Source organism: Homo sapiens, chromosome 14 (genome assembly GCF_000001405.40).
Source record: "Homo sapiens chromosome 14, GRCh38.p14 Primary Assembly".
NCBI lineage: Eukaryota > Metazoa > Chordata > Mammalia > Primates > Hominidae > Homo > Homo sapiens.
In genome coordinates this window covers 32,150,644-32,163,338 of record NC_000014.9, presented here as the reverse complement: position 1 = coordinate 32,163,338, position 12,695 = coordinate 32,150,644, and the positions used below count along the sequence as shown (strand labels likewise).

Here is a 12,695-nt window from a genome sequence, read left to right as displayed (position 1 = left end):
CATTCTTACTGGTTTGAATGTTACATGCTTCTTACCATTATTTTAGTGGTCACAATAGAAATTACATGCATCCTTGACATAACAAAATCTAACATTAATTGGTATTACCCTCCTCTGGGAGAAGCAAGGAATTTCCAACATGAACTCTAGTTACATCTCTTGCAGTTTAGATACCTTATTTTAGTTCATTATGTATTTAAATCCATAATGTTTTTGTCTTGTTTTCATATTAGCACTTAGATTTAACCACATATTTGCCATTTCTGTTGCTTTTTATTCATTCTTATGTATCAACATTCCACCTGGGGATAGTTCTCTTGCCTGAAAATCTCTTTTCAGTATTATTCCTAATAAACCCTCGGATTTATAAAAGTATAATTCAGTATTTCATTGTAGGAGAATTTTCTACTTTTCTTGAAAACAACTTTGACATTTTTAAAGGTGATTTCTGTTAGACATTAAATTCTAGGTAAAGATACCATTTCACTATATTTTCGTTTCTGTTTTGATTAGGTAGCTTTTAGTGAAGTAGTAGAATTTTGAAAGTGATTTTTTTCTCTCTGGTTGCTTTTAAGATTTTTTCTCTCTGGTTTTCAGTTCTATTATAATATGCTTAGGTATGAATTTTTCTTTCTTGCTTGAGATTCAGAAGCTTCCCCAAATCAGTTGCTTATCTTGACAGCTATGGAAAGATCTCAGTAATTATCTATCAATATATTGCTTTTGCATCTCTCTGCTGTTTTCCTGCGGTGTTAAATTTGATAAACATTTCTTATCTTCTATATTTTCTGTTCTTGTTTTATTCTATTTTCTTCTCACCAGTCTTTCAGTTCACGAATTCTATCTTCAGCTGTGAGTAAGCTGTCACAAGAACATTGAGTTCTTGATTTCAGCTAGTATTATTTTTGGCTATATAACATTGGAAATTTTTCTGTAATTTTCCAGATATCTGCTAAATTCTTCATCTTGACTTTTATCTCCTTGGACTGAGTAAGCATATTTTAAAATCTGTGTTGTCTTTGATTCATATTGTCTTGTCTCCACACATGCCTTGTTATTTTGTGGTAAACATCGTTTGCAAAACTATAGAAATACTTTAAAGCTTTAAAAGGTCTTTAATTCCAATTTCTGTTCACCTATGCCTGTAGGACACCATCAGATATATTGTCATCCTCTTGGATACCTCCTCCAGAATTTGCCAAAAAACTCAAGGAGAAAGTGGCCCCCAAAACAGGCTCACCTACTTGGGTGTTATTTTCTCTCCCAACTTCTGGTTGTAATTTTGTGCTTACTGGCTTTCTAATGGCCTTCAAATTGATTTTTTTTTTTAAACAATTTTCTCCATTTTGTCTAGATGCCCTCAGTTGGATGGTTGGTCCAAATCATCTTACATTACTATAAGTGGAACTTCCTTCTTGTTGCTGTTAAGTCACTTATATTCTAACTATATGGGAATTTGGCTTTCTCCAAGTAAAGGTGGTATGAGACAGCTGTAAATATCTGGAAGCTGTGGTTAAAAAAATGTATAAACAAATTTGGCTTCTTTTAAATTCCATTTGAGTATTCACAAAAAATGCTTCAGGTCACACAGACCAATTTTGGTACACTGAAGTTAGGGGACTATGCAAGAAGTTAACCATGAGCTAGGATCATTGGGGGCCATCATGGAGGCTGGCTACCATTCAATAAGCAAGTTTAGTTTGTGGCTGACAGCTTTTCCACACTCAGTATGTGATAAGTCTCCCTTCAGTATGACATTATGGTGTACACTGAGTTGTGACTTCTGGCCAGAGTGAATGCTCTGATATGCAGTCAGACCAATTTATAGGTGAAGGCCCTTTCAATACATTCATAGGTCTTTCCAGCCTGAGCATTATGGCAGAGATACGTAATCTTCTGTTGACCTTTCCCACCGCAATATTTAACACATATATATTCCTTGCTTTACAATGGGACCAAGTTCTGATAAACCAATTGTAAGTCAAGGAGTGCGCTGAATGTGTATGGTTTTCGCACCACTGTAAAGTTGAAAAATCTTGAGTCAAACCAGTCGAAGTCGGGACCATTATAAAATTTCTCTCCGGGATGTTTGCTGACATTGATTGAGGTGTTACTTGGAAGAACTTCCCACAATTACTCCATTTATGTTTCTCTACATTATGAATTCTCTGACCTTCAGTCAAATTTATCCTCTGAATAAAGGCCTGCCAACAATCGGTACACATATAGTTTCCCTTCTATATGCATTCTCCAAAGGCACCTAAGCAGACTGGTTAGTGATGCCTACACCTTGGAGAGACCACCAATTAAATAATCATCACATACTTTTAGATCGATTATGGACATGATTTTGTTAAGTGTTAATAACTTCATTAATCTATGCCACAATTTATTGAAATGTTGTGTGGTCATGATTAATGTACAGAATGTGGAGATGTAATTACTGCCCTGAAAAATCTTGTGTTATCCTTAATAAGGCTGTTGAAAACAAATCAGTTCTGATGTGTACAACTGTATCACCAGTCCTACCTTCCAGATAGTTTTTGTTACTAAGAGCTTTTAAAATAACCGTTTCACATAGCTCTCCTTATTTACTTATTACTAAGTAAATGAAAATAGAGAATTTCCTTTGGAAACAATGGCAACAGGAACAGAGGGTAATTATCCTGTGTAAAATTTTACTCCAACCGATATTATTTTGAATTATCTATCATAAAATATTCCACATAAAGTTGGAGGAGATAATTTTATTAACAATCTATGCCAGGGACCAGCCAATATCTGTGGGTCAAATCTGGTCTGCTGCTAGTTTTTTACAGACACAATTTTATTGGAACACAGTTATATTCCTTTCATTTCTGCATTATGGCTATTTGTGCACTATAGCAGAGAAGTGCCACAGAGATCATATGGCCTGCAAAGCCAAAGACACTATCTGTCCTTTCCCCAAAAAGTTTGCTAACTCCATAAAAATAATCTAAATGGATTCTAAGGTACACAACAGTCATTTTTTAATTAAAGTACTAGATATAACATTTTAGTTTGTTATTTACATTTTTAGAGCAGGGTCTCCCTTTGTCTCCCAGGCTGGAATGCAGTGGCTTGATTGTGGTTCACTGCAACCTCCGCCCCCCCAAGGTTCAAGCAATTCTCATGCCTCAGCCTCCTGAGTAGCTGGGGCTACAGGCGCCTACTACCATGCCAGGCTAACTTTCGTATTTTTAGTAGATGTGGTTTTGCCATATTGGCAGACTGGTCTCGAACTCCTGACCTCAAGTGATGTCCCTGCCTCAGCCTCCCAAAGTGCTGGGATTACAGGCATGAGCCATCATGCCTGGCTTTAGTTTATATTTTAAAAGTACATTGCTGGTAATGTTTCTCACTTCAAATATTACAGACCAAAAGACATTCAGCAGCTATGCCTGTGACTGCCAACAAATGAAAAATCTCTAAGTCAAATTTCCAAGAAGGATATCTAAAGACTGTATTCTCTCAGATAGGTATTTTTTATCCTTTCACCTACATTTATAAACAATCCCAAATAATAACAGTATGATAGTGTGTACAGCTTCTGATTTTACTTATTTTACGGAATTAAACAGAAGTCTACTTCTTAGAACACCTAAATATTTATTTGGATAAAATAAAATAACAAGAATCTGGAGAAAAGAAACTAAGAGCCCCAAAGTTAAAGCTGGTAAAATAGTTCAAGAACTTGCAGCAAGTACCTAGAAAATATTAAATGGTTAGGACAAAACATTCACAGTTCAAGGTCCCAAGAAAATGATCTGGTGAGCAAATACATATACACACTTAAAACTAATCTGGATGAATTAGTGAAGCAATGAATAAATAGGTCAATTACTAAACCCACATAACTTATTCAAATAAAATCTAATACAAAAAATAAACTTAAAAAAATAGGTTAAAACACTAAATCTTAACTAAAATATTAGGCAAACTAGAACAGGAGGGCCGTTATTAAATTGTTCACAATAACTTACTATTTGAGACAAAACTGAATAGAAAATCTGAATTGTGAGAATAAACAAGTTGTTTCTCAACTACAATTATTTGACAGCTACTCAAAAAGTGCATATACTGCAGGTCTTAATACTACTAACTACTGGTAAAAATGACTAAACCAGAACTGCCAGCACCAAATTAATTTCAAGGGTTATAATTTTATGCATTTAGTATTAACTAAAATGCTAATTATCATTGGTTAGCTTTTCAAAATCATACTGCCTACAGAATTTCCACAAAAGACTAATTTCACACAATTTAATTAAGATGTGAATATGAGATTCTGTGACTCTTCCCACTCCTCTCCCCCTGACAAAGAAAACTCATATAGTGGAGGAAAAAATGGAGTCATGCAAATAGGACAATGATGAGGATCAATTGAATAGTGAAGACTCCCAAAGTTAATTAATTAGATTTTAACTGCTTCAAAAAGACCAGGGTACTTGGATCACATCAAGTAACTGGATGTTGGAATATGAGATTAATGCTTGTACAATCCTCTCATTGTATGTAAAGATGCTATCCTAAGAAAATGATTTGAATAGTATCTTCCCTTATTAAATCTTAGAAAATTTTACTTTCAGGTATTTCATAACCTGAAAAGGCTAAGAACTTCCAAGAGTTCTAATACAGTAAAAAAATCAACCATGTCCCATATGTATTGAAACAAATTAGAAACTGTTAAGAATTTAAGTACCTTGAAACTACTAAATTCAAGATAACACAAAGATTCATGTTGAACAGACCTCACCAGATCCAGACTGACAACATATACCACAAAATTTGGCCTAATAGTCACAAACCATGAAGACACAAATATATTCGTTAATATTAGCAGCTCTGCTATAACTAGAATAGTTTTCAAAATATTTCCAGTGGCTCTAAAGAATGTCTAGCCACAGCTCAAAAATCACATCCAGGTAAGATCTTAGTCTTAGAAATCTGTGCATTATCTTGTTTTCCTGATAATTTAAAAAATCAAATTTTCACCTATATACATCCCCAGAAAAAATTTTGAATCTCCTTTTCAGGTACAGTGAAAATTCAATAATACATCTCCTTAATAAGATTTCCATCATATTGATAAATTTATATTTTTATTTTTCATTTCACTTGAAAAAAATTAGCTAATTTTTACCAATGAAATGGTAAAAATAGAGGCAACTATAACTTAAAATTACACAGCTTCTTAATGTTTTATTCATAGCATTCTTTATACATCAGAAGCTTCACTGATATTTAATTTACTGCAGCATCCTGTAGGTGAAGCACAAAAATTACATTAAACAAAGAAACAAAAGCACTTTTGACTTTTTAAAATTATATGTGTATTTATATCCAGTTGACAAATAGCATCACAATTATTACTGTATAAAAAACTAAAAATCACCATGGAAGCTAAGGCCTAAATTCTCATTCCAATTGTTCCCTTTTGTTGATACCTAAGAGATATTAATTAGATTCCAGTACCTCAAAAAAAAAAACAAACCCAAATAAACAAAAAAACCCAGGTCTACATTATTTACATACAGTATGGGAAAAAAAGCTGCTTTTTGGCTAACTTAGATTGCGGTTACCTGCAGTATTTACACTGTAAATGTTAAGGGGAAGAAGCACTACTAACAAATACCATTTAAAAAAAATATATTGTGCCTGGAATTTTATTCTTAAATTAGTTGTATATCCTAATAAGTGTCTGTTGAATAGAATTTGACTTCTAATAAATCTACTGAAAGTGTGAAACAGAGTACCACTATGCTTCTTTATATTGCTAATCTAGATCCTGTTAGGTCCAATATTGTAGTTAACTATAAGCACTGAACCTTAAATGAAACAATGGCAACATGTGTGTAGATGAAATTTTATTCAGTATTGTAAAATATAATGCCTTGATGTTTACTCACAATTATGAGACTATCCTATTCTTTTAATCCTTTAAGAAGTCTCATATGATAGGTCCCTAAACAGTGAAACCTTCCAGTAACTTACCAGAAAAAAGTTTAATTATGTTATTCTGTTCTTAGATGTTTCTAATATTTAAAAGCATATCTAAACCCTTGGCAAAAACAAACACAATCAATTCAGTGTAACAGACTGAGCTTTAAACTGTACTTTAATTTTCAATAACTGTAACCTACTGGTTAATTGAACCAAACGTAGAGTATTTAAATGACTCACTATGAAGTGTGTCAAATCAATGATAGAATGCATAGAAAAGTGGAGATAAGTTTGGGGGAAGGTGCAAGGTGGGTTAATGTGAAAAACGGTAAATGCCAGTTTTAATAACAAAAATGGTACTAAACGCAGATGAACATTAAATTAATACAGTATAAAAGAGAACAGCTTAAATAAACTGGTATTCACATATTACAATAGCAAAGTTATGACAGAATGAACTGAAGACACGAACAGTTTTGAAAATTCTCTTTTCAGCCTACTTCCAAATAGAAATAGTCAGGCTTTTTTCCTGTACATAGTTTGATGCTTTGTCTATACCATATATAGTAGAAAAATAAATTCTTTAGCAACCTAGAAACAGTTTATAAAACTCTTAAAGTTTAATTTTCTTTGCCAGACATGCCAATAGTTAAACTGACAACTATAAATTAAAGCTATATAGACAATAGGTATAAGTAATATAGAACAGGTTAAGAATACTACATTTACCGGATTTTTTTTTAAAAATTACTGTACTTTCTTAATTCCTGTGTGCTTTGCAATAGGAATAATAGGGACTTTGTTTTCTTAGAAAAGATAACATGTAAGAGTATAACACAAATAAGATAATTTATAATATACATGTACTTCAACAGCAGCCTGGTTCATGCCAACATCTTGGTTCTGAAGTTAAAATTGGAAGTACAATACCTAGAACTTAACAGTTGGGAGAGACAATATTTATTTTAGGAAAAAACAGAGCAAATCAAACTCTTAGGAGCCTTGAATCTGAAAATCATCTATTTACTATAATACACATAAGATAATCTTAAATTGTAGTATGAATTAAGATAACATTGACCAAATAATTTTTTTCTTTACTACACAAAATATAACCTAGTGAAATTTACCTGTGCCACCTATTCTGAAAATTTTATCCATAATTTAGTGTTCTGGTTTTATCTTCACTAACAAAATGTTTACCCCCAAAAGCAGCAGTCACTTATAGTAATTCTGGTACCAACATCAAAGGAAAAAATTGGCTTAAAAATGGTGCAAAAGCCATTTTGGATTTTAGTACAACACATCACAGAAAAGAATATGAATACAAATTTGTAATATAAACACTCCAAAGAGTCTGTCAGTACCCAAAGTATTTTTATTGCTATATTAGCAATGGGTTTTTTGGATATTTTTTAAGGGCCACATAAAAATAGATTCAAGGAACAAATTAAATTGAAGTCCTAGATTTAAATGTTTGGTTTAAAGAATTTTCTACAACAAATTTCATGTTTATGTATGAAAAGTTATATAACCTTATATGAAAATGTCATGGAAGTATTTTCTACACTATACTAAATGTGTTCCCCAAGAGGGAAAAAATTAAAATATCTAAAATATATTAGATTAAGATTACAAGACCATCATAGATCTTTTGAACATGCATCTGTTTACAGAATTAACAGTATACAAAATTTTTATTTCATTATGGACCATAAAGAAATGAGTTGGTGACAACTATCCTTTGCACAACATTATCAACTCACTTTAGCCACAAGCATGTCCTTGGTATGTGTGTAAAAGAAATAGGTTCATTTATCCCTCATCAAATCATCCACGGGTTTACTTGGAAGTAAAGATGAAGGTACAGAAATGTGAAATATGTCAAGTGTATTTTTTCTTTCTTTCAAACAACATCCCAAGCATGGCCTCAGTAGCCTGAAATTATAAAATACTTAACTGGGCTTTTAGTTATCTACACCGACTGCCAGAATGTAAATTAAGTTGCCCAAATTAGCACATCAAATAACAAAATCAGCCAGAAAGCAGGCTGAAAAGCATTAAATGTTTCATATAGGTGAGTTTTTAAATCATTTAATTTCTATAGAAAAATTTTATTCACAATATAAGGTGACAGAAATTGCCACAGGAATGATATACTGATTGCAATAAGGTTGCATGCAGCAGCAGCTTTGTACTTTATAGCTATTTTTGTTTATAAAAATTAAACCTCTCCAGTCATGCTTATCACATGGTCTTAGATTTGTAATGTAAGTGAATAAGGAATACCATCTAGTTCAAAGAGAAAATGTAATTTTGAATGTGAATTATCTGTATGAAACATGAAGTATACTACTGAACCCTGAAACATGCATGTCTAGATTTGCTTTTTGTCCAAATCCAGCCTGTTTGCAATCACTTCCTACTCATATAATACCAAGAGGATCCGTTTGTAATTGTGGTTGTATCAGCTGAGGTTGCAATGGTGGCGGCAACTGAAGTGGCACCATTGGTTCCACCAACTGTCCTGGGTTTGAAGGTGGTGGAGGAGCCACAATGTTTGTCGTTTCTACAATTTCTCCATTGTAAAAGAAAAACTGACACTGCTGAATGAATGTTTCAACAACAGATTGATGAATCTTAGTAGTAGACAGAAACTCTCGATTTTCAAAATCAGGTCTCATCAAGGTTGGCCAAAAACAGATGGATAAGTTGTCTGCTGTCATTAGGTTGATTTTATGTTGCTGACTAACCCTGAAATTATGAAAGGAAAAAACATTTAGAAATCAAAACTCATTACAATCACAGAATTCCAGAGCTAGAAATGATCTCAGATTTAATGTTACCTTTTATCCTACTTCAAACCTGGGGTTTAAAAATTTGCATAAAGAAGCATCTTTAATTCGTATGTAAAAAACTTTTCCTGGGCCAGGTGCAGTGGCTCACGCCTGTAATCGCAGCACTTTGGGAGGCTGAGGCAGGCGGATCACCTGAGGTTGGGAGTTCGACACCAGCAGGACCAACATGGAGAAACCCCATCTCTACTAAAAATACAAAATTAGCCAGGCGTAGTGACAAAGCCTGTAATTCCAGCTACTTGGGAGGCTGAGGCAGGAGAATCGCTTGAACCTGGGAGGTGGGGGTTGTGGTGAGCCGAGATCGCGCCATTGCACTCCAGCCTGGGCAACAAGAGTGAAGTGAAATTCCGTCTCAAAAACAACAACAATAACAACAAAAAACCTTTCCTGATGTGACAAATTGTATTGAGTTTCTGGCAACAGAAACAACAAATTCTAATTGTATATGTAACTTCTTTGACTACTGTGAGAGATGAAAAACCAGAGTATGCTCTCTCAACTAGCTTTGGAAAAATTACTACCATAGGTGTTTGACACTAATATCAGGCTAATTTTCCCTTCCTTCCTCTGTTCCTCTCTTTTTTTTTCCTCTCTCTTTCTTTCTCTCTCCTTTCTTCCTTTTTTTTTTTGAGAATCAAGTCTCACTATGTTGCTCAGACTGGTCTCAAACTCCTGGCCTCCAGCTCCCCAAAGTGTTGAGCCACCGCATCTGGCTGAGAATTTTTAACTTTCAGAAAACCTGGTTGCAGCAGGTGCGGTAGATCACGCCTGTAACCCCAGCTCTTTGGGAGGCCGAGGTAGGCGGATCACAAGGTCAAGAGATCAAGACTATCTTGGCCAACATGATGAAACCCTGTCTCTACTAAAAATACTAAATTTAGCTGGGTGTGGTGGTGTACATCTGTAATCCCAGCTACTCGGGAGGCTGAGGCAAGAGAACTGCTTGAACCCAGGAGGCGGAGGTTGCAGTGAGCTGAGATCATGCCACTGAACTCCAGCCTGGCGACAGAGCAAGACTCCATCTCAAAAAAAAAAAAAAAACCTGGCTGCTAGCATTCCATAAAACAATCTTTTTTTTTTTTTTTTTTTTTTTTTTTTTTTTTTTTTTTTGAGACAGAGTCTTGCTCTGTTGGCCAGACTGAAGTGCAATGGCATGATCTCAGCTCATTGCAACCTCCGCCTCCCGGGCTCAAGCAATTCTCCCGCCCCAAGCCTCCTGAGTAGCTAGGATTACAGATGCTCACACCACGCCCAGTTAATTTTTGTATTTTTAGTGGAGATGGGGTTTCACCATGTTTCCATGGTATTTTCTCAGGGAAAGGTTATAAGAAATGTTAATACAATTTTATACCACATTGCTAGTAAAAAGTAAGCTTTAAACATTGGTGAATCCTCTTTTAGGAGGTACCAGCTGAAATGTACTTGGTTTGGGTGTTGATACTATTAGTTTAAAAAAAAAAAAAAACAAAAAAAACCATACAGTTCATTAAAATGCCAGTAGAAAATATTATGAGGAGACTTTTCAAAAAATTAGTACATATACTAAAATAGTTCCATTCAGTCCTCAGAACAACTTTGTGAAGTGTTGTTATTTTCATGTTTATAGTTGAGACAATCAAGACTTAGGAAGAATAAGTCATTTACCCAAGGTCACAGAACTAGTAATTTTTCAAACCAAACCCTGTTCCAACTCCAAATAGGTCAATCTGGTTAGTTATCTGAGTGTCATTTCATATCTAAAATTCTAAGATTTTACAGAGAATGTGGTAAAAAGGAAAATATACTTACCACACTTACTATTTATATAATAATTACATTACAAAACTAATCATATATCTTTTTAGATATAAATTAGAAAAACAAAATTCAACTATATGTTTAGTCTGAGTCCCCTTTTCTATCTGATAATTATCCAATTTATAAAATTTACATGTTTGAAATGTGTAGTGCATTTTATTTGCCAAAAAACCCTAAAAAAATAAAAATACCTGTTTAGATGTGTTATCACGTATCTGAATACATCATAGTTTACAGGATGAAATTTCTTAACAATTTCTTTCAAGGCATGAAGACGTTCTGTTTTATCCGGGATTTCTGTAAAATTAAAACAGTGAAGAATCTGTGTAAAACTTACACATTTAAAAATATTTGATAAAGCTTCCTGCTATATTTACTATAACAGTCAAGAATGTGTTTAAAGCATATTAGGATAGGTAAACAAAATCAAAGAAAATGTTCTAAAGCAACAGTCCCCAGCCTTTTTGGCACCAGGGACCAGTTTTGTGGAAGACAGTTTTTCCACAGATGGGTGGGGGGATGGTTTCAGGATGATTCAAGTGCATTACATTTATCATTAGATTCTCATAAGACGTGCACAACCTAGATCCCCTGCATGCGTGGTTCACAATAGGGTTCCCACTCCTAGGAGAATCTAATGCCGCACCTAATCTGACAGAAGGTGGAGCCCGGTTTCCCTTATCCAACTCCTCACCTTCTGCTGTGCAGCCTGGTTCCTAACAAGCCAGGCTGTGTGGCCTAGGGGTTGGAGAGCCCTGTTCAAAAGAACCTGCTAAATTATGTAAATTAAGAAATCACTTCAACTAACATTATCTATTTCTATTAATGTCATCATTTATTACTATAGCCTTTTTATAAGGAAAGCTAATCACTGAAGACCAAAGTGACCCAGCATTGACAAAATGGGAAATGGTACGTTAGCAATTTACGTAACTAGATACTGATTTATAATTAACTAATTACTTATAAATATGTTAGGCTCTTAACATTTATGCTACAGAGTAACTATTTTAGGCTTTGTGGGCACACTTACTCAACCCTGTGTTGTAGCACAAAAGCAGTAACAGACAACATGTAACAAACGGGAGTGGCTATACTCCAATAAAACTTCTGAAATTTGAATTTCATGTAATTTTAATGTGTCATGAAATTTTCTTTTCTCTTGGTGTAAAAACGACTCTCAGCTTAAAAGTCTGCCAAAAACTGGCGATAGCCTAAATATGGCCCTCGGGCTATAGATTCGCCTATACTACAATTACTTGTAATCCATTTTGCTTATCAAAGATTTTCCTTTACAGGCAGTTTAAGTATTTAACTTACTCTCCAAATCTATGCAATTATGAAACAGAGTAACTAAAATGTGGCCCTGAAATAAATGAGATAGAGGGTGCTTTCCACCTCTTCCTTATTTTGGAGACCAGTGTGCACACCACATCATTATGGTAGCATAACCAATTACTAACAACATTTCATTTGTTACACATTACTTCTAAATCAGTCCTCAAAAATTTCCTAAGTAGGAATGTTCTGAGGTTCCTATTAATGGTCAATAGATAAGAACATCTAAGCTATCAATTAAGCCATTTTCCCACTTTACCTGAGAGTACGTATATATAAGGCAACTATACCTTGTGACAATATACAGAATTAAAAAAAAGAATCACTGAGAACTTAGAACAATACGAAGTAGTCTCATCTAAAATAACCTGAAGACTTGCAACCAAAAGGAAATAGTAGAGAGAAGTATTTAGCAACTGTGCTAATTTTTTGTCACTGAGAAATCATGTGGATGAAACTGATGCCCAAACAGACTTTAGTTCTCATTTTCCAGATAAATGAATATCTGTTTAGTGGAAACATCTGAATGAAAGATGCCAAAGTAGGAATAAATACTAAATAAATATCATGTTCTTTCCCAAAATGACTTACAACACATGGTCTGCTATGGTTTGAATGTTTCCCCCAAAGTTCTTGTGTGGGAAACTTAATCCCCAAGGCAACAGTGTTGAGAGGTGGAATCTTTAAGAGGTGACTATATCATGAGGGTTTTGTCCTCATGAACAGATTAACGCTGTT

At 34.2% G+C, this 12,695-nt stretch overlaps 1 protein-coding gene across 2 annotated transcripts in view; it reads right to left on the bottom strand.

Moving 5' to 3' along the window:
- Positions 1-3,610: 3,610 nt before the first annotated feature.
- Positions 3,611-12,695, bottom strand: part of ARHGAP5 (Rho GTPase activating protein 5) — an 82,425-nt gene continuing 73,340 nt past the window's right edge. For both annotated transcript variants that reach the window (NM_001030055.2, NM_001173.3), the window contains exons 6-7: positions 10,811-10,916; positions 3,611-8,718 (exon numbers count right to left, since the gene is read on the bottom strand). In NM_001030055.2, coding sequence (NP_001025226.1) covers positions 8,391-8,718; positions 10,811-10,916 — 434 coding nt within the window. In that variant the 3' untranslated portion in view covers positions 3,611-8,390. The remainder of the gene's footprint in view (positions 8,719-10,810; positions 10,917-12,695) is intronic.